We start from the raw sequence: 22,898 nt of genomic DNA, 5'->3' as shown, positions 1-22,898 counted from the left end.
GCACACAGATGAAAAATCAATGAACAGAAGAGAAATGTCAGAAACAGATTCATGTTCCTCAGGGTAGTAAAGAAATGAAAATCTTCTGAACCAGTGTGCTGGAATAACTGGATAGCCATACATGAAAAAAGATGAAACCTGACGCCTTCCTCACACCACACACATAGATCAATTTTAAAAGGAATGAACCTTCTCGAAGAAAATACAGTAGTAAAATGTCCTTTAAACTCAAGGAAAATTTTCTTAATCAGGACACAAAAACACAAACTTTATAAAGGGAAAGCATGATACATATGACGGTAATACAACTAAGAACTTCTGTTAACCAAAAGCTACTCCTGAGAGACAGAAAAGGCAAATCACAGAGCAGAAAAGCTTTCTTGAAATACATTTATGACCAATAACAGAATTGAAATCAGAATACACAAAGAACTACAATCGGGAGAAAAAAAGATGAATAATCCAGGAGAAAAATGGTTAAGAAAATTAAAAAGTTACTTTACAAAAAAGGATATCCACATACTTAATAATCTTAAAAAAAACTTCCTCAATCTTATTAATTACAGAAATGCAAATGATCACCACCATAAGATGCCATCACACAAACACCCAAAGGCTAAAGATAAAAATACTCAGAATTGCAAGTATTGGGGAAGATATGGAATGCTTGAAGTCTACAATACCAGTGGAGTAAAAATTGTTACAACTGTTTTAGAAAACAGGTGACATTATCAAGTAAAGTTCAAGATTCATTACCCTAAGACAGAACAATTTTATTCTGAGGTATACATTCAACAAAAATGTGGCCACATGTGCAACAAGAAACGTGTATTTTTAAAAGCAGTATTATTGGGCTAGGCACGGTGGCTCATGCCTGTAATCCCAGCAATTTGGGAGGCAGAGGCAGGCACATCACTTGAGGTCAGGAATTTGAGACCAGCCTGGACAACATGGCAAAACCCCATCTCTACTAAAAATACAAAATTAGCTGGGTGTGGTGGTGGATGCCTGTAATCCCAGCTACTCTGGAGGCACAGGCATGAGAATTGCTTGAACCCAGGAGGCGGAGGTTGCAATGAACTGAGATCATGTCACTGCACTCCAGCCTGGGTGACAGAGTGAGACCTAATCTCAAAACAAAAAAACAAAAAACATAATTCATCACAATAAAAATTGGAAACAACCCAAATGTAATAGAAAAAAAGAGATTCCATTTTCAGTCACAATTTGTGCAGGAATGAATATTTGAAAAGATGTGCAAAGACATGATAAAAAAGTATAAAATATTATTAAAGAATGAACAAGATGAGTCACATGTACAACTCAATATCGCAAAGTTGTCACTTCTCTCAAGTTAATCTATAAATTCAATGTAGTTCCAATAAAAATCCTAAAAGTGTTTTATTATGGCACTTCACAAAATGATTTTAAAATTGAATGTAATAATAAAGTTCCAAGAAGAGCAAGACAATTATGCCTTTATCAAACCACATTATAAAGCTACAATAATTACAAAAGTGTGGTAGAGAGAACTTAGGAACAGTTTTGAAAATTTATAGAAACTTGGTATATTACTGAGAGGGATTACAAATTAATGGAGAACAAAACAGCACGCAATTGATGGTGTTAGGACAATTGGCTATCTATATGAAAAAAACACTTCCCCCAACTTCCAATTAGATTAAAGACCCAAATATTGAAAATGGAACTTGAATATTTTTGAAGAAATGTGGAATATCTTTACTACATCAGTATAGGGGGGTGAATTTCATAAACATGACAGAAAAGCGTGAAATATATACACACACATAGAAAAACAAATTTCACTATATTCAAAATTACAAACTTCTCTCCAGGCATGATGGCTCATGCCTGTAATCCCAGCACTTTGGGAAGCTGAGGTGGGTGGATCACTTGAGTCCAGGGGTTCGAGACCAGTTTGGACAACACAGTGAGACCCTGTCTCTATAAAAAATACAAAAATTAGCCAGGCATGGTGACGCTCACCTGTAGTCCCACTTACTCAGAGGGGCTGAGATGGGAGGATCGCTTGAACCCCGGGAGGTTCAGGCTGCAATGAGCCGAGATTGTGCCACTGCACTCCAGCCTGAGTGACACAGCGAGATCATGTCTCAAAACAAAACAAAAATTTACAAACTTTTGTACAACAAAATAAATCACGATCAAATTTAAAAGGCAACATGTGGGGAGAATATAATTACAATACTAAGAAAAATTGGCATCCAGATTCTTTAAAGAACTTCTATAAATCAATATAAAATATTTTTACTATCACGATACTACTGGTAACCTGCAAGCAGCAACCAACCAGAAGACAGCAAGACTAATATGAATGAACACATAAAAAAGAGGCTGCTCTCGTACATACCAGCTGAATATTAGCCCTCTAAACAACCTTTAACAAAATCAACAAAATATTATGTGAACACAGAATAATGTAAACCCTCTCTCAGCACAAAAGAAAAAAAGTCAGATTTGAAATGATTGTTTTCCTTCAAGCAAGGAATTAGCATTAGTTAATAGAAAACTGATGCTAACTTCTTTAATAATAACATTTTAGGTTGGACAATGTGAAATGGCCATTTTTAAAGCAAAAGATGGTTAAAAACTGGCAATTTCAAATGATTCAACCTCTATATTCTTAAGTATGGTACTGTAAATTTCCAGTATATATACAATATTCCAACCTGTAGAGCTAAACACAGAACCTGTATATTAACTAATATACAGCTAAACACAGAACCTGTATTTTAACTAATGGGCTTGAAACTAGTCAATAAGACAAAAACTTGATTTTACTGAATTATATAAGTCAGTTGATGGTGCTATGTTTTCCTGGAATTTGATATAAAAATTGATTTAGAGCCCACTAAAAATGTAATTATTTATGTTTGTCAAAATTTGTGAAATATGCTTAGATGATTATTTAAAGCCCAAACCTGAATGAGAGAAAATCTAACTAAACTTAAATTGGTTGGATTTACAAATGGCTTTTTTCCCCCATTTTCACCCCACCAATGTCAACTTCTTCGTATCATTACACTATAAAAATTCCAGTATAATTTTTGATATAGCATCTCTGTTGGCTCCCTTAATCTAAAAGGTTCTCACAAAGTTTAAGAACAACCTTAAATATTACTGGAACAAAAACAGACATATAGACCAATGGAACAGAATACAAAGCCCAGAAAAAATCCATGCATTTATACTCAGCTGATATTCAACAAAGGTGCCAAGAATCCAAGATGAGGAAAGGACAGTCTCTTCAATAAACGATACTGGGGAAACTGAATATCCACTTGCAGAAAAATGAAATTGCAACCTATCTCACCCAATATACAAAAATCAACTCAAAGTAAATGCTTAACTGTGAAACATGAAATTGGAAAACTACTAGAAGAAAAGATAGGTGAAAATCTTCTTGACATTGGTCTGGGCCAAGATATTTTTGGATATGACTGAAAAGCATAGGCAACGAAAGAAAAAGTAGACAAATGATACTGTATCAAACTAAAACGCTTTTGCACAGCAAAGGAGATATTTATAGAGTAAAGAGACAACCTACAGAATGGGAGAAATATCTACAAAGCATACATTCGATAATAGGTTAACAGATTTTTTAAAAAAGGAATTCAGACAACACAATAGCAAGAGAACAAGTTACTTCTCTAGAAAATGGGCAAAGAACCTGAAAAGATATTTCTCAACAGAAGACACACAAATGGCCAAGAGGTATAATGAGAAAATGCTAAACATCATTAATCATCAGGGAAAAGCAAATTAAAACCACAAAGAGATATCCTCACACCTGTTAGGATGGTCATTAACAAAAAGACAAAAGAAGAGTTGGTGAGGATGAAGAGAAAAGGGAACCCCCTTGTACGCTGTTGGTGTGAATGTAAATTAGTAGTTATTGTGGAAAACAGCACTGAGATTTCTCAAAAAACCAAAAATAGAACTACCATATGATTTGGAGATTCCACTTCTGGGTATATATCCAAAGGAAATGAAATCTGCACTCCCATGTTCACTGCAGCATTATTCATAATACCCAAGCTATGGAGTCAATCTAAATGTCATCAGTGGATGAATGGATAAATAATATATGGTATATATAATTAAAGGCATACTATTCAGCCTTAGAGGAGATCCTGTCACTCGAGATAATATGGACGAACCTGGAGAACATTATGTTAAGTGAAATAAGCCAGGCGTAGAAAGACAAATACTGCATGTCTTGCTTATTTGTGGAATCTAAAAAAGTCAAATTCATAGAAGCAGAGAGTAGAATGGTGGTTACCAGGGGCTGGGGAGACAAAACTTGGGGGATTGTGAAGATGTTGGTTTTTACTTTATGATTATTGTTATTTTTTTAGATGGAGTTTTGTTCTTGTTGCTTGGGCTGGAGTGCAATGGTGCGATCTCAGCTCACCGCAACCTCTGCCTCCCAGGTTCAAGCGATTCTTCTGCCTCAGCCTTCCGAGTAGCTGGGATTACAGGTGCATGCCACCACACCTGGCTAATGTTTTGTAATTTTTAGTAGAGATGGGGCTTCACCATGTGATCCACCTGCCTCAACCTCCCAAAGTGCTGGGATTACAGGTGTGAGCCACTGTGCCCAGCCTGAGATGTTAATTAAAGGATGCAAAATTTCAGTTAGACAGGAAGAATAAGTTCAGGAAATTTATTGTACAACATAGTGACCACAGTTAATAATAATGTATACTTGAAAATTGCTGAGACAGTAGATTTTAAATGTTCTCACACAAAAATATGTGGAGTAATGCATATGCTAATTAGCTTGATTTAGCCATTTCACAATGTTTACCTATATCAAAACATCATGTTGTACACCATAAATATATTGGTTTTTTATTTGTTAATTTAAAAATAAAAAAGATCAGCCTTAAATAACAGTACTCTGATATTCTAAAATTAAAGACTGTTTGTATTTTGAGAGATATAAACTAGCAAACCAAAAATAAAGAAATCCAAATACTAGGAAAACAAGGGAAAATATGCTCAACCTTCCTTAGTTCTTTTTTCTTACTTTCTTCCCTTCCTTATCCTCTCCCTATCTCCTACCCTTCCTCCTCTCCTCTTTCCTTTCTCCTTCCCTTCTTTCAGTCTTGGAGCTAATATTTAAAAATGCTAACAATTATTAATACATATTAATAGCAATACGTATCTTGTTCTTGTACTTTATGTATATTTACATGTCTTTAGAAATGGAGAAATAAAAAGGAAAATGTTATTACCTGTGCCTCCTTTACAGTGAATCGCTACGATGTTTTCAAGATCTTGAGCCATCCACTCATTTACTTCCTTGGTGAAAACCACCATCTGACTGATTTCAAGTTTAAGATTTTTAGTTAAAATATTTTCAAAAAATCAAGCCCAATATATTTAGCCCTCTTCTGATAGTCAATTTAGCATAAAACTTACTGTAGAGTGGGGACATTATGATCATCAATCATGATTCTAACGACCCTATTATGGAAGTGCTTAGGATCGTAAGCTCTTTCACCTAAAATAAATAATATGTATGTCATATCTCTATAGGGAATAACATGATAAATGAGGAAGTTATGAATAAGTTAACATATCTTATTAGAATTCCTTATCTATCTTCAAAAAGAGCTTTCCAAGTTGCTCCTGCCACTCTAAAATAAACGCAAGCGTTTCAAAAATATAAGGATGGTAGTGGTTTATCCATCTCATATAACCTAAACTCAACTTATTTTTGTTTAATAGGTATAATTTTTAACTTTCTAGCAGACTATTCATTATATTATTTCAGGGTAGTTAGAAACCACACAAGGCAAATGTAGCTGACCAAAATGTTTGCCCCCTGAAAATGTCTATTGAGTATACAGGTAGAGGAAAAAATCAAGAGAGACAGGGTATTAAACTGGGTTACAACCTATTTTCTACAGTTTTTTGCTTTTTTCCCATCTAGAGCCTTGCTCTCATCACATGCCACTGCTGATGGGTCAGAAGACTCATTTGTTAAATTGTCTATGTCCTCATAACACAATCTGGCAAGAAAAACAGAAAGATTTTCCTAAACCTAATATCGCTAGAACAGATCTTCCCTAAAATGGTTTTCTTCCACTCCAGCTTCATTGGTCCTGCCAAAGCCACATCCTTCATACGGTACTTTGTGCTGCTGGGCTAACTCCTTCTACTAAATGGGGCCAGTCCAAGATGGGGATTTTTAAATTCATTCCTTGCCACTACCAAATACTTATGATTAAATGCAATCTAAAAAACAAAATCATCTTCTTACGTGCAGTAATCTGTTTTCTATCTACAGTAGCACAATATAGAGTAATGTACATACTGCATAGATTGTAGACTCGATAGTGGTTTCGGTGTTTCTTATCTAGAAACCGCACAACTTCCTAAAAAAGACAAACACATATCTTACATATTTACATGGCACCAACATAAGCTATTTCCTAGGGGGAACCTAAAATGGTTATTACTTTTATTAATTTGTCTCTCACTAGCATCTTCTAGTGGAGATTCAGGGAATAAGAGGGTATGCAAACTTCAAGTTCTAATCCACTGTGATTTTTCAAATAGTCCACAAGTATGTTTGGCTACTCAGATGAGTCTCTATTGTAAATGCACACTGTTTAAAGCTATCAGATAAGTAAATTAGCTGGTTAACTAACTTTAAGTAATTTGTTCTAAATCATTAATTCACAGTTAATATGGATCTTGTTTAAATCTAATTCATATTCGTTCTTATTTAATTCTGAATAGATACATCTTTAGAGAGTGATCTGCATATTACAGTCTATCTAAGCACTATGTAAACAAATGCAAAAAGCATATAGTATGATTGTGTGTATGTGTGATAGAAAAAGATAAACATATCAAATTTTAAATAACTGGTAACAATATGGAGACTTTTTTGGCTCATTTGTTCTCTTTATTTTTTTAAATGAAGATATATGTGTACCTATAAAGTGTGTGTCTATATATATATATATATATATATATATATATATATATATGTATATATGTATAACCTTTAAAATGAAAAACAAATAGTAGTTATAATTTAAAATACAATCAATACCACTATATGAATCCAACTTTCAGTAAATACATCTTTCTGAAACATACACACACATACGTATATATCTCTGTGCAACAACAAAAATGACACAAAATTTTAAAACTGATTAGTATGGTACCCTCAGAGCAATGTTTACTGGCTTAATATTGAGAAAAATAAAATGAAGGTATCAAAGTCATCCATTTATTAAACTGGCTATCTCTGTTAAGAGGAAATAATAAGTCAAAAAGATGAACACTCTGAATCTGCATAGTGGGGGAGGCAAGGATAAATAGTTTTATATACTTCAGGTGTATCCTCCCCCCAGGTGATGGCTTTGTTCTTATCAATCTCTATGTTAAGATAATCCAATGGCCTGACCTGTCTTCCACCTGAAGAGACCATGGAGACTAGGCTCAGTCTTGTGCTTGCTTCCCTTTTCCGCGGTGTGGCACTGGGCACACTTCTGAACAAAAATTTTCTTGCCTTTCTCAGCATCACCCATATTTAATTCTCTCTTTCATCACTGGCACTACAAAGGTTCCCGCTCAGAAGCCAGATGTCCCGCTCTATGTACCATATTTTCTTTATCTAATCTATCATCGACTGGCATTTAGGTTGATTCCATGTCTTTGCTCTTGTGAATACTGCTGCAATGAACATATGTGTGCATGCATGTATTTTTATAAGACAATGATTTATATTCCTTTGGGTATATACCCCATAATGGGATTGCTGGGTCTGATGGTATTTCTGCCTCTAGGTCTTTGAGGAATTGCCACACTGTCTTCCACATGGGTTGAACTAATTTACACACCCACCAACAGCATTTCTTTGTCTCTGCAACCTTCCCAGCATGTTATTTTTTGGCTTTTTAATAGTAGCCATTCTGACTGGCATGAGATGGTATCTCATTGTGGTTTTGTTTGCATTTCTTTAATGATCAGTGATGTTGAGTTTTTTTTTTTCATATTTTTGTTGACTGCATGCATGTCTCTTTTGGGAAGTGTCTGTTCAGATCCTCTGCCCACTTTTTAATGGGGTTGTGTTTTTCTTGTAAATTTAAGTTCCTCATAGACTCTGAAGGAGATATTACCAGTGAAGGCTGAGAAACAGCAAAGATGGCAGCCAGCTCCTTCCTTTGGAAGCTCCATCCCAGGGGGATACTGACCTGTATCCAGCCCGCACATACCTGCAAGAGGTGGCTGGAGACCCCTGTTGGGCATTCTCACCCAGTCAGGAGGCATGGGATCAGGGACCCATCCAAAAAAGCAGTCTGGCTGCTTTGGGGTAGAGCAGGTGTGCTGCACTGTGGGGGATCCTTCCTCCTCCAGACCACCTGTATTCTCCAAAGCCAGCAGGTTGGAATGGCTGAGTTGACCAAACTGCAGAGGTGGCAGCTGCCCCTCCCACCAGGAGCTCCATTTCAGGGAGAGATCAAAGCTCTGTCCATAGAACCGCTGCTGGAGTGGTTAAAGCCCCTACAGGGATTCCTGCCCAGTGAGGAGGAATTGATTGGGGTCCTGCTTAAAGAGGCAGTCTGGTCATGATCTGGCAAGCCAGCTGTGCTGTGTCGTGGGGAACTCTTCCTTGTCCAGACTGTCTGTATTCTCCATAGCTGGCAGGCTGGAGTGGCTGAGTCTATGAACCACAGTGATGCTGGCTGCCTCTCGCCACCTCCCCGGGAACTCAGACCCATCTGAGGTGGATTCCAACCTGCTGCTGTTGGCAGGCTAGGATTCCAAGCCAGTGGGTCTTAACTTGTGAGGTGCCAAGGAAACGGGGCCTGCAGAATGATGCTGCCTGGCTCCCTGGATTCAGCCCCCTTCCCAGAGATACGTATGGACAGATTTCCCACTGTGCTGAAGATCCCCGGGGCTAGAGTGTGTAAAACTCCTGGGTTTCTGTGTGTGCCTGAGCAGCTGATGTGCCCAGACTCCATACAGGTCTGTGTATCAGATCCACAGCCCTGGTGGCATGGGCTCACAAGGGGATCTCTTGATCCACGGCTTGCAAAGATCCATGAGAGAAACACGGTTTCCCGGGCAGGACTGCACACTCACTCACTGCTTCCCTTGGCTGGGAGTGGGGGTTCCTTTGGCTCCATGCCGCCCCCGGCTGGGCCATCGCACCCTCTGCCTGCTTATCTTCATTCTCCATTGGTCGACCTGTTCATCCAGTCAGTCCCAATGTGAGAACCTGGTTATCTCAGTTGAAGGTGCTGAATTCCCTCGCCCCTTTTCATTCCTCTTTGTGAGCGCGGCAGACTGCAGCTGCTTCTAATTGGCCATCTTGCATCACTCTAAACATTTCTTTTTTAGCCCTAGTTCTTAATTCCTATAGCCCTTGGTTTATCACTAGTTTCTTGATAAAATAATCCGTCCACGTTCTCTAGTCATGGGATGATGACTCAGGCCAGGTATCCAGGACATTTTCTGGGAAGTAGCTGAACTTGCAGCCCTGTCCTGTTCAGAACTGAGCTAACACACTGCAGAGAGGTACTCCTTCCACCTCTCGGCAACTGATACCAGCCCTCGATAGTTATATTTTTATTGAGGTATAATAAGTATTGTAAATTACATAAAATTAAACAATGATCCTTTCAGCTGGCATTTCACAGTAAACAGCATTATATGTTTGAAATTAATTTAGTCATCCACAGAGCCTAAAGCAATATGCCCCGACTATAATTTAGGATCTCAACCTAAGAAAACACATTTTGGGTTATGGCATCCCCATCTTTCTTCCCTATGGTAGACTATCAAAAACGGCCACAATTCTTTATAATTCCTTCCATCAAGAGTTGGAGTTTATTTTCTACTCCTTGAATCCAGACTGGTAGTGTAATTTGCATTGTCCAATAAAATGGGGTAGAATTAATATATAATTTTGAGCCTGGGCCTGAAGAGGATTTGCATTGTTTTGTTGCCGCTCCTCGGACTCTTGCCTCTGCCATCATGTGAACAGGCCTGAAGTAGCCTACTGGAGAATGAGAGACCACATGGGGCCATTCAGCCAAGTCAGGTAATTTTCTTTCCTTTCATTTAAAAAATCTGTTTCCTTCATTCTTTAAAAATATTTTTAATTGACACATAATACTTGTTCATATTTATAAGGTAGAGAGGGATATCTCAATACTTGTATACAATGTGTAATGATCAAATCAGGATAATCAGCATATCTATCACCTCAAATATTTATCATTCTTTGTGTTGGGGGCACTCAACATCCTCTCTATTTAAAAATATACAATAAATTATTGTTAACTGTAGTCACCCTACAGCACTACAGAACACCAGAACTTATTCCTATCTGTAAGCTTAAATCTGATATTTCTTTGTTGATTTTCTGTCTAGATGATCTGTCCAGTGGTTAAGAGTGGGGTGCTAAAGGCCCCAACTGTTACTGCATTGGAGTCTATCTTTCCCTTTAGACCTAAAAATATTTGCCTTGTTTATCTGAGTGCTCTAGTGTAGGGTACATACATATTTACAATTATTATATCTTATTGCTAAGTTGATCTCTTTATTATTATAAAATGACCTTCTTTGTCTCTTCATACAGTTTGACTTAAAGTCTGTTTTTATCTGATAAGTATGGCTACCTCTGCTCGCTTTTGTTTTCTGTTTGCCTGGAATATTTTCTTCTATCCCTTCACTTCCAGTCTGTATGATCCTTTACAGGTGAAGTTAGTTTCTTGTAGGCAGCATACAGTTGGGTCTTTTTTTTTTTTTTAAATCTTGGCAGCCAACTCTATATCTTTTAATTGGGAATTTGATCTGTTTACATTACATTCAAGGTTACTATTAATAGATGAGGCTTTATCCTGTCATTTTGTTCATTTTTTTCTGGTTGTTTTGTATATCCTTTGTTCTTTTCTTCACCTTTTTTTTTTAATCTTTGTGGTTTGGTCACTTTCTGTAGTGACAAAGTTTGATTCCTTTCTCTTTCTCATGTGTATATCTGCACTACAGGTGAGTTTTACACGTTTGTGTTTTTGACAATGGTAATCATCCTCTTGCTTCCAGATGTAGAACCACCTAAAGCAGTCCTTGTAAGGTCAGTCTAGTGGGAATGAATTCCTTCAGTTTGTGCTTGTCTAGGAAATACTTTATTTCTCCCTCATTTCTAGGGGATAGCTCTACTAGGTATCGTATTCTTGGTTGACAGTTGTTTTTTTTTTCCTTCGGTACTTTGAATATATCATCCCATCTTATTGTCTACTGACCTGTAAAGTTTCCACTGGGAAATCTACTGCTAATCAAATGGAGTTTCCCTTATATGTGACTTGATGCTTTTTTCTTGCTGTTTTTAACATTTCCTTTTTTTTTTTTTTTTTTTTTTGGATACAGTCTCGCTCTGTCACCCAGGCAGTAGTGCAGTGGTATGATCTTGGCCCACTGCAACCTCCACCTCCTGGGTTTAAGCAATTCTCGTGATTCAGCCTCCCAAGTAACTGGAACTACAGGTTCACGCCACCACACCCAGGTAATTTTTTTGTATTATTAGTAGAAATGCGGTTTCTTCATGTTGGCCATGCTCGCCTTGAACTCCTGGCCTCAAGTGATCCACCCGCCTCAGCCTCCCAAAGTGCTGGGATTACAGGTGTGAGACACCGCACCTGATGAATATTCCCTCTTTTTGACTTTTGACAGTTTGACTACTATGCACCTCAGAGAAGACCTTTTTTGGGTTGAATCTATTTGAGAACCTTTGAGCTTCCTAGATTTTGGCCATATCTCTCCCATGTCTGTTTTTAAAGCTCTTGATTGTATTTTTTTTTTTTTTTTGAGACAGGGTATCACTCTGCCACCCAGGCTGGAGTGCAGTGGCACAATCTTGGCTCACTGCAACCTCCACCTCCTGGATTCAAGCAATTCTCATGTCTCAGCCTCCCAAGTAGCTTGGATGGCAGGCATGCACCACCAAACCCAACTAATTTTTGTATTTTTTAGAGACAGGATTTCGCCGTGTTAATCAGGCTTGTCTTGAACTCCTGGCCTCAAGTAATCCACTGCCTTGGCCTCTCAAAGTGCTGGGATAACAGGTGTGAACCACTTCACCTGGACTCTTGATTGTATTTTTATTTTATTCCTTAAATTCTTCAGCTCCACAATCTCTGTCTGGTTTTTAATGATATATATATCCTTGTTGAATTTCTCATAAGATCATAAATTGTTTTTCTAATTTCATTGATTTGTCTATCTGAATTCTCTGTATCTCATAGTTTCCTTAAGATCATTATTTTGAATTCCTTCTTAGCCATTTGATATACTCTTTAAATTTAGGGTCTGTTAATGGGGAATTATGGTGTTTCTTTGGAGGTGTAATGTTTCCTTGCTTTTCACGTTTCTTATGGCCCTAAACTGATTTTTGCACATCTGGGAGAACAGTTGCCTCTTCCAATGTTAGGGAGCTTTCACAGAGAAATACTTTTTCCAATAGTTGTCTCCTATAGTGTTCATTGAGTAGGGTGCTTTGACTTTGGTTCTGGGTGGGTGCAGTAATATAGTCTTCAGGTGACTTTTTTGGCTGTAATCAGCATTCAGTGGTGTCTGTGAGTGCCTCAGTGGCCTGATGGTGAGTGTTTGTGGAGACAGTGGTATGGCTTTTCTTGTTGTGAGAGCCATCATTCAGATTAGTTCTCAGGCCTTAGGCATATGCATGCTAGCTGCAGTGGCTTTGCTAGTTATGGGGTATTGCCAACAGCAGGGCGGGCACCAGGCAGGCCAGTCCTCAGTGCCTTAGAAGTGCATGAGGCAAATGGTGGCTCTGCTGGTGAAGGGGGTGGGGCTGTTGGCAGCAGTGGGTGCCAGATGGGATGGGCCTTGGGCCTTGGGGGGTGCATTTAGCATGCAGTGGCTCTTTCAGTCGAGGGTAGCCAAGTCATTTTAGACTAAACCAGTCCTCAGATGACCCAGTAGCTGCCCACAGATACATGAATGAGCTTAGTTGAGACAGGAAATCCTTTCTGCAAGCACCTAAATTGGACAGTTAAGCCCATACCAAATTCACATACCACAGTATCATGAGCCAAATAAATAGTTGCTGTTATAAGCCAGTAAGTTTTGGGGTGGTTTGTAACCACTGGCACAACTGTAACTGGTATCAATCCATTATGATTTTTTTTCCTTGAAAGAGTACATTTTTAAAAGAATACTGCCATATCTGGGTCAGTATTAAACTTATGACTACACAGTCTACATTCACTAAGAAATGAGTATTTGTCAGATAAAGACCCTTACCTTGATTGGATTTCTATAGAAAGACTGCCTTCCAGAAGATGGAAATGACATAGCAATAATACGTTCTAAAAGTCAAAATCATCACTATTACAAACATTATTATAGATTTCATACAACATACAAAAAAATTAATTTATACATGATCAGATTCCATTTTCACAGAAAAAAAACCTTTTAAGATTGAGGTTGACAGAAAAGAGCTAATACTCAGGATAATCAAATAACATATTAAATTATCCAACACAATGACCATTAAACTGCCATGGAGTTCTTAAGTCTCCACTAGTTCTAACTGTATGCCATGTATTTATGATGGCCTCAGTCTGAAGTTCCCCCTGTTCTTAGAATTTATTTCTTATCTTAAATACCAGAGAAAATCCAAGATTTCTGGGCACCAGTGATGGTGGGAACTCCCAAGGTGCTTTGCAGCCCTCTGACTCAGAAAACCTGAGATCTACAAAGCACTGACCTCATTCTCTGGGATTCTAGGATAAGAAGAGGTCTCCATGGGATCCCTGGGACTCAGAAATAACTACTAGAGGTTAATAAATTGAAACTCAAATGGAGTCAGCTGAAAATCCATTCAAGTTCCTATGCTGCAACTGAGTAGTCTTGAATTGAGAAGACATGTAGATCTTCCATTGCCAGGGCTAAACCACAAATATGTCACACTATCACAGTAGCATATATCCTCATGAATAAAGAATATTTTGAATGAATGTGTCTTAGATGAGGCAAAAAAAAATACAATTACAAGAAAAAGTGAAGTAATACAAGTAAATCAACGGTTAAGTGTCACAAACCTGTAACGTAAGTGAGGTCTAGGTCAAATCCATCCCTTGTGTATCGCCTTTTGTTTTCTGAAACCTGACAGTTTAAAATCGTCATTAGTTTGTGAAACACTCATCAACATAAAAATAAAAAACATTATACAGTATAGATATCAACCCTTGTCAATGGGTCCCAAAACACAAAATATTTTTGTGAATCATAAGCATGTTTTGCCCACTTACCCGCCTTCTTATCAGCTTTTCAAGTTGTCTTTTTTGATGAAACAGATGAAAAATTCTTAACAGAATAATAAGTCGTAGAAGTCGAAGTAAATGTGTCCATCTAAGAATAAATTTAAACGATCCATTTTTGCTTCAGAAACAAAATTTTATCAATATAAACTATGTCTAGAGCAGCAGTTGTTAACCAGAGGCAATTTTCCCTCCTCTCCCCAATTACCTACCTGGGGGATATTTGGCAATGTCTGGAGGCATTTAGGTTTTCACCACTGGCGTGCGTGCATGTGTGTGTGTGTCTGTGTGTTACTTACATCTAGTGAATAGAGGCCAGGAATTTTGCTAAACACCCTACAATTAATATAACTGCTCACCACCCTCTTATGACAATCATCTGGCCCAAAATGTCAGTAATGCTGAGGCTGAGAAATTCTGGTCTAGAGAAATAGTGATACAATAGACTCTTAGCATCTGTAAATTTAATTTTGGGATTTAAGACTAGCATTTTCAATTTTTTCCACATCAAAACAAATCGATTATTCTTGTTCATCTTTGTTATTCCCATGAGTAACAGATGTTCACTACAGCTGCTACTACACATCAGGGAGGCAACAGATTGAGATACTTCCGAAGTGTGCTAGCTGGAATCTCCCCTACCATCAGAACCACTGAAGCAGAGAACTGATGGTCTGGACTAGTGCTTCTCTGATTTGGGCACACATCAATAAGAGCCACCTGGAAAAGCTTGTTAAGCTGCAGATTGCTGGGTCCCAGAGATACTGATTCAGTGGGTCCAGGGTGGGGCCTAAGGTATTTTTCTTCTTATATTTCTAGCAAGCTGTCAAGTGATGCTGACGTTTCTAGTCAGAGGACCACATTGGCTGAGGTTATTTTCAAATAACTCCAAAAGCCTATCACTTAACATGCTTTTAGTTGGGGCCTGAGCTGTAGTCCAGGGAAGCTAGGGTACAAAAAGAAATCAGCTATTTGACCCATGAACAAGCTTAGGAAGCCACCATCTACATCCCAGTATACATTTGCTCTTTCATTTTCCTCCTTGTCACAGTAAAAAAAGAGTCACCAGGGCTTCATATACTCTTTAGTTTCCCAATCCCACTTCTAACTTTGCCTGCTTTCTTTGTTTCTACCACAACTATACTGCAAAACTCTACTATTGTGTTGCCACGTGTCATCTCCTAGTTTCTGTTCTGTTTGCTATTTTTTAGAAACTCATGATTGAAGTCACTCTAATTTTGCATATGCTCAAATAAATTCCCTCTTGGCTGTAGGAAAAATCCAGACAGAACATTATGTGTAAGGGATTTGTAGTTGAAGCACAGAGGGGAATTGTTTTCAATATAAATTTTTTTGATATAGCAGATATTAAACTGATAAGAATATTATACTTGATCTTAGCCAAAAGGCCAAAAAATGATACAAATGGGAATTTGACGAGAACTTCAAAATGTAGAGAAGTTAAAGTTAGTACAAGAGTAAAAGTCCTTCTTTGGGGTACTGCATCTTCTTTATTCCATTAATGGTACTTAGCCTGTATACTCTTCACCGGTCCCTAAATATCACAATCTTTTAGTTTCAAAGTATGTGGGAATTTACCTAAACATTTCATTTTAAAGCAATGTATTTGGTATAGAATGAGAACATTTGAAGTTGAAAAGATTATATAGAATAAAAGGCACAGAAAATGCTAAAATTAATGAAAAACTTTAAGAGAGGTAAGTCTTATGTTTCATACCTGGGAATATTCCTAAGCAACTTAATGTCAAAAAAAATGTAAACGACATCAACCAGCAGAAGAATCACAATAATGGCAGTATCTAAAATGTTAAATAAGTCAGAAAAATACTGCTGTCTCCTGTAATATAAAACAAAAAAAATAAGTTCATTCCCCCCTGCAAGAAGAGATAGGAATATTTAAAGACCACAAACTATTGACTCATCCCCATTAAGAATTCTACTATCATGAATTATTTAAAATGTATTTTCTAGAGTAGACTAAGGGAAAAATATAACATTCATGGGAAGTTTTCAAACAATAAAATTATATTCATCATTTGACACTTATATGTGACTAAAACACCAACATGGCAATTCAAACATAATAAGAGATATAACTAAATGCGTAATAATCACCCTCATTGTGGACAATGGGGTATCTATCCCCTCAAGCATTTATCATTCATGTTACAAACAATCCAATTACACTCTTTCAGTCATTTAAAAATATACAATCAAGTTATTGTTGACTATGGTCAATCTGTTGTGCTATCAAATAGTAGGCGTTACTCATTCTATTTTTTTGTACCCATTAACCATCCCCATCTCCCCACCCCCAAGCCCCTACTACCATTCCTAGCCTCTGATGACCATCCATCTACTCTCTAGGTCTATGAGTTCAATTTTTTTTTTTTTTTTTTAGAGCCCCATAGTAAGTGAGAACATGTGATGTTTATCCTTCTGTGCCTGGCTTATTTCACTTAACAAACATAGTGATCTCCAGTTCCATCCATGTTGTTCCAAATGACAGTATTTTTTTTTTTTTTTTTTGAGATGGAGTTTCACTCTTGTTGCCCAGGCTGGAGTGCAATGGCGTGATCTCGGCTCACTGCAACCTCCACCTCCTGGGTTCAAGCGATTCTCCTGCCTCAGCCTCACGAGTAGCTGGGATTACAGGTGCCCGGCACCACACCCAGCTAATTTTTGTATTTTTAGTAGAGATGGGGTTTCTCCATGTTGGTCAGGCTGGTCTCGAACTCCCGACTTCAGGTGATCTGCCCACCTCAGCCTCCCAAAGTGCTGTGATTACAGGCATGAGCCAGTGCACTTGGCCGGGTTCTTATTGTTTTTTTATGGCTAAATAATACTCTCTTGTGTATATGTACTATATTTTCTTTACCCATTCATCTCTTGATGGGCACTTAGGTTGCTTCCAAATCTTAGCCATTATGAACAGTGCTGCAACAAAAAGGGAATGCAGATATCTCTTCTATATAGTGATTTCCTTTTTTGTGGGTATCTACCCAGCAGTGGGATTGCTGGATCATATGGTAGTTCTATTTTTAGTTTTTTGAGTAACCTCCAAACTGTTCTCCAATTGGTTCTACTAATTTACATTTCCATGAACAGTGTATGAGGGTTCTCTTATCTTCACATCTTTGTCAGGATTTGTTATTGCCTGACTTTTGGATATAAACCATTTTAGCTGGGGTGAGATGATATCTCATGGTAGTTTTCTACACTGAGAATTTCTCTAATGATCAATCATGTCAAGCATCTCTTGATATGCCTGTTTACCATCTGTATATTTTGAGAAATGCCTATTCAAATCTTATCATTTAAAAGATTAGATTATTAGATTTTTTCCTAGAGAGTTGTTTGAGCTCCTTACATATTCTGGTTATTAATCCCTTTTCAGATGGGTAGTTTGCAAATATTTTCTCCCATTCTGTGGACTGTCTCTTCACTTTGCTAATCGTTTCCTCTGCTATGAAGCAGTTTTTTAACTTGATGTGATCCCATTTGCCCATTTTTGCTTTGGTAGCCTGTGCTTGTCAGGTATAGCCCAAGTAATTTTTGCTCAGACCAATGTCCTGGAGATTCTTCCCAATGTTCTCTTGTAGTATAGTTGTTTCATTGAGGTCTTAGATTTAAGTCTTTAATTCATGTTGATTTGATTTTTGTATATGGTGAGAGGTAGGGGTCTAGGTGCATTCTTCTGTATGTGTATATCCAGTTTTCCCAGAACCATTTGTTGAAGAGATGTCTTTTGTTCAATGTACGTTCTTGGCACATTTATGAAAAATGAGTTCACTGTAAGTGTGTGTGGATTTGTTTCTGGGTTCTCTATTCTATTCCAGTGGTCTGTGTGTCTGTTTTTATGCCAGTGCCATGGTGTTTTGGTTATATAGTTCTGTAGTATAATTTGAAGTCAGGTAATGTGATTCCTCCAGCTTTGTTCTTTTTGCTTAGAATAGCTTTGGCTATTCTGGGTCTTTTGTGGCTCCATATAAATTTTAAGATTGTTTCTTCTATTTCTGTGAAGAATGTCATTCATATTTTGACAGGGAGTGCATTGAATCTGTAAATTGCTTTGGAGAGTATGGACATTTTAACAATATTGATTCTTCCAATCCATGAACATGGAATCTCCTTCCATTTTTTGGTGTCCTCTTCAATTTCTTTCATCAGTGTTTTATCATTTTCATTATAAAGATCTTACACTTCTTTGGTTAGGTTAATTTCTAGGTATTTAATCTTATTTGTGGCTATTGTATATAGGACCACTTTTTAAATGTCCTTTCCAAATGGTTCACTGTTGACATATAGAAATGCTACTGATTTTTGTATATTGATTTTGTATCCTGCAACTTTACTGAATTTATCAATTCTAATAGTTTTTTTTGGTGGAGTCTTTAGTATTTTCCAAATAAAATGTATCATCTGCAAACACAGGGATAATTTTACTTCTTCCATCCCAATTTGGATTTCTTTTTTTATTCCCTTTCTTTCTCTTCCATAATGGCTCTAGCTAGGACTTCCGGTACTATGTTGAACAACGGTGGTAAAAGTGGGCATCCTCATTGTGTTCTAGATCGCAGAGAAAAGCTTTTCATTTTTTCCCCATTCAGTACGGTAATGACTGTGGGTCTGTCATATATGGTTTTTATTAAGTTGAGGTATGTTACTTCTATACCCAGTTTTTTTAGGGTGTTTACCATGAAGGGATGTTGAATTTTATCAAATGCTTTTTCAGCATCAACTGAAATGATCTTATGGTTTTTATCCTTTACTGTGTGGATATAATGTATCGCATTGATTGATTTACAAATGTTGAACCATCCTTGCATCCCAGAGACACATCCCACTTGTCATGATGAGTGATCTTTCCCATATATTGTTGAATTCAGTTTTCTAGTATCTTGTTGAGGATTTTTGCATCAATATTTATCAGATATATTAGCATGTTTTTGGTTTTGGTTTTGGTTTTTGGGTTTGTTTTTATTTTTATTCTTTTTGAGACTGAATCTCACTCTGTCACCCAGGCTAGAGTGCAGTGGTGTGATCTCAGCTCACTGCAACCTCTGCCTCCCAGGTTCAAGTGATTCTCCGGCCTCGGCCTCATGAGTAGCTGAAATTACAGGTGCCCGGCACCACACCCAGCTAATTTTTGTATTTTTAGTAGAGACAGGGTTTCACCATATTGGCCAGGCTGGTCTCGAACTCCTGACCTCCAGTAAACCACCCGCCTCTGCCTCCCAAAGTGCTGGGATTATGGGAGTGAGCCACCACTTCCAGCCTACATGTGTCTTTATGGGAGAAGAGTGTTTCCTGTAGGCAACAGAGCAATGGGTTTTTTTATTTTATTTATTTTTGAGCTGGAGTCTTGCTCTGTCACCAGACTGGAGTGCAGTGGCACCATCTCGGCTCACTGCAACCTCTGCCTCCCGGGTTCAAGTGATTCTCCTGCCTCAGCCTCCTGAGTAGCTGGGACTACGGGTGCGCACCACCACACCCTGCTAATTTTTGCATTTTTAGTAAAGACAGGGTTTCACCATGTTTGCCAGGATGGTCTGTAGCTCTTGACCTCATGATCTGCCTGCCTTGGCCTCCCAAACTGCTGGGATTACAGGCGTGAGCCACCACACCTGGATGGGTCTTGTTCTTTCATCCATTCATCCACTCTATCTTTTGATTGAAAAGTTTAGTCTACTGACATTCAATGTTATTACTGATAAGTAAGGACTTACTCCTGCCATTTTGTTATCTGTTTTCTGGTTGTTTTGGGGTCTTCTCTTCCTTCTTTCCTTCCTGTCTTTCATTAGTGAAGGTAATTTTCTCTGGTGATATGATTTAGTTTCTTGTTTTTTATTTTTCGTGTATCCATTGTTATATTTTTTGGTTTGAGGTTACCATGAGGCTTGTAAATACTATCTTATAATCCATTATTTTAATCTTATAATAAGTTTTCATAAACAAGTAAAAAGAAAACTAATAAAAACTCTACAACTTAGTCTCCCTATTTTTTAACTTTTTGTTATTTCTATTTATATCTTATTATACCATCTATGTCTTGAAAAGTTGTAGTTAATATTTTTCATTGGCTCATAGTTTAGTCTCTCTACTTAGAGTAAGAGTAGTTTATACATCATAGTTACAGTGTTATGACATTCTGCATTTTTCTGTATACCTACTATTACCAGTGAGTTTTATACCTTCAGGTTGTTACTTATTGCTCATTAATGTCCTTATCTTTCTGATTGAAATACTCCCTTTAGCATTTCTTCTAGGACAGGTCTGGTGTTGACAAAATCCCTCAGCTTTTGTGTGGAAAAGTCTTTATTTCCCCTTCACTTTGAAGGATACTTTCACTGGATACACTGTTCTAGGGTAAATGTTTTTTTCCTTCAGCACTTTCAATATGTCATGCCACTCTCTCCTGGCCTGAAACGTTTCTACTAAAGAGTCTGCTGCCAGATATATTGTAGCGCCATCGTATATTATTGGTTTCTTTTCTCTTGCTGCTTTTAAGATCCTTTTTTTATCCTTGATCTTTGGGACTGTGATTATTAAATGCCTTGAGGTAGTCTTCTTTGAGTTACATCTGCTTGGTGTTTTATAACTTTCTTGTACTTGGATATTGATATCTTTCTGTAGGTTTGGGATGTTCTGTTACCATCCCTTTGAATAAACTTTCTACACTCCCCACCTCCTCTTTAAGGCCAATACCACTTAGATTTGTCCTTTTGAGGCTATTTTCTAGATCCTGTAGGCAGGCGTCGTTGTTTTTTATTCTTTCCTTTGTCTCCTCTATGTATTTTGAAATAGCCTGTCTTCAAGCTCATTAATTCTTTCTTCTGGTTTATCAATTCTGCTATTAAAAGACTCTAATGCATTCTTCGGCATGCCAATTACATTTTTTGGCTCCAGAATTTCTGCTTGATTCTTTTAAATTATTTCAATCTCTTTGTTAAACTTATCTAATAGAATTATGAATTCCTTCTCTGTGTTATCTTGAATTTCTTTGAGTTTCCTTCCTCAACACAGTTATTTTGATTTCTTTGTCTGAAAGGTCACATATCTCTGTTTCTACAGGATTGGCCCCTGGTGTCTTATTTAGTTCATTTGGTGAGGTCATGTTTTCCTGGATAGTGTTGATGCTAGCAGATGTTCTTTGGTGTCTGGGCATTGAAGAGTTAGGTATTGATTGTAGTTTTCACTGTATTTATTGTAGTTTTCACTGTCAGGGCTTGTTTGTACCCATCTTTCTTGGGAAGGCTTTCCAGATATTTGAAAGAACTTGGATACTGTGATCTAATCTCTATCTGCTTTAGGGGGCACCCCAAGCCTCCTAAACTCTGGTTCTTGCAGACTCATAGTGGTACTGCCTTAATGGTCTTGGACAAGATCCAGGATAATTCTCTGCATTACCAAAAAGAGACTCTTGTTTTCTTCCCTTACTTTCTCCCAAACAAACAGAGTCTCTCTCTCTGTTCTGAGGCACCTAAAGCTTGGGGTTGAGTGACATAAGCACCTCTGTGGCCACCACTACTGTGACTGCATTGGGTCAGACCTGAGGCCAGCACAGCACGGGGTCTTGCCCAAGACCTGCTGTAACCACTCCTTAGCTATTGCAGGAGTTTACTGAAGGCCCTGGGGCTCTACAGTCATCACATCGTAAAAACAGCCAGGCCTGTGTCCTTGCCTTCAGGATGGCAAGTTCTCCTAGCCTACAGGTGGATCCACAGGTGCTGTCTGGGAATCAGGGCCTAGATCAAAAACTGTAAAAGTCTACCTAGTGTTTTATTGTGCTATGGCTGAGCTGTCACTCAAACCACAAGATGCAGTCCTTCCCACTCTTTCCACCCCTGTCCAAAGGCAGAGGAGCATCAATCCATGGCCACCTCAAACACAGGACATGGGGGGGGTACTGCCAGACTACCACCAATGTTCTCATAAGGCCCAAAGGCTCTTAAGTCAGTTTGTAGTGAATGCTCCCGTTAATTATTTTAAAATGCTTTTTTTTTTTTTTTTTTGAGATGGAGTCTCACCCTGTCACCCAGGCTAGAGTGCAATGGCATGATCTCGGCTCAATGCAACTTCTGCCTCCCAGGTTCAAACGATTCTCCTGCCTCAGCCTCCCAAACAGCTGGGATTACAGGCAACCACCACCATGCCCAGCTAATTTTTGTATTTTTAGTAGAGACGGGGTTTCACCATGTTGGCCAGGATCGTCTCGAACTCCTGACCTTGGGATCCTCCCACCTCAGCCTCCGAAAGTGCTTCTTATAAAACTACAAAGTAGCTTAATGCATTATAAAAATAATCAAACTTACCTTTCTACAAATACTCGAAGAAGAACATCCATGAGAAAAAATAAGGCAATAGCTAGAGAAATAGAACGATACTCCAAAGGAATATAAAGTTTGCTGTCAGTGAAAATTAGGTCGGCAAGGATGAGAGTGACATCCAGTAAGACCAGGAAAACTCCAAATAGTCTAAAATAAACAAATAAATAAATAAATAAATAAATGCAAAGAT

At 37.9% G+C, this 22,898-nt stretch overlaps 1 protein-coding gene and 2 pseudogenes across 4 annotated transcripts in view; all 3 read right to left on the bottom strand.

Moving 5' to 3' along the window:
• Positions 1–22,898, bottom strand: part of TPTE (transmembrane phosphatase with tensin homology) — an 84,134-nt gene that overhangs the window by 21,832 nt on the left and 39,404 nt on the right. For all 4 annotated transcript variants that reach the window (NM_199261.4, NM_199259.4, NM_199260.4 and 1 more), the window contains 8 exons: positions 22,694–22,855; positions 16,096–16,215; positions 14,349–14,448; positions 14,139–14,202; positions 13,336–13,400; positions 6,365–6,425; positions 5,467–5,548; positions 5,280–5,368 (listed from right to left, as the gene is read on the bottom strand). In NM_199261.4, coding sequence (NP_954870.3) covers positions 5,280–5,368; positions 5,467–5,548; positions 6,365–6,425; positions 13,336–13,400; positions 14,139–14,202; positions 14,349–14,448; positions 16,096–16,215; positions 22,694–22,855 — 743 coding nt within the window. The remainder of the gene's footprint in view (positions 1–5,279; positions 5,369–5,466; positions 5,549–6,364; positions 6,426–13,335; positions 13,401–14,138; positions 14,203–14,348; positions 14,449–16,095; positions 16,216–22,693; positions 22,856–22,898) is intronic.
• On the bottom strand, positions 7,403–7,595 carry CYCSP41 (CYCS pseudogene 41; annotated as a pseudogene).
• On the bottom strand, positions 15,682–15,778 carry LOC124905063 (uncharacterized; annotated as a pseudogene).

This window comes from Homo sapiens, chromosome 21, assembly GCF_000001405.40.
Source record: "Homo sapiens chromosome 21, GRCh38.p14 Primary Assembly".
Classification (NCBI taxonomy): Eukaryota; Metazoa; Chordata; class Mammalia; order Primates; family Hominidae; genus Homo; species Homo sapiens.
This window is presented reverse-complemented; position numbering and strand designations above follow the sequence as displayed.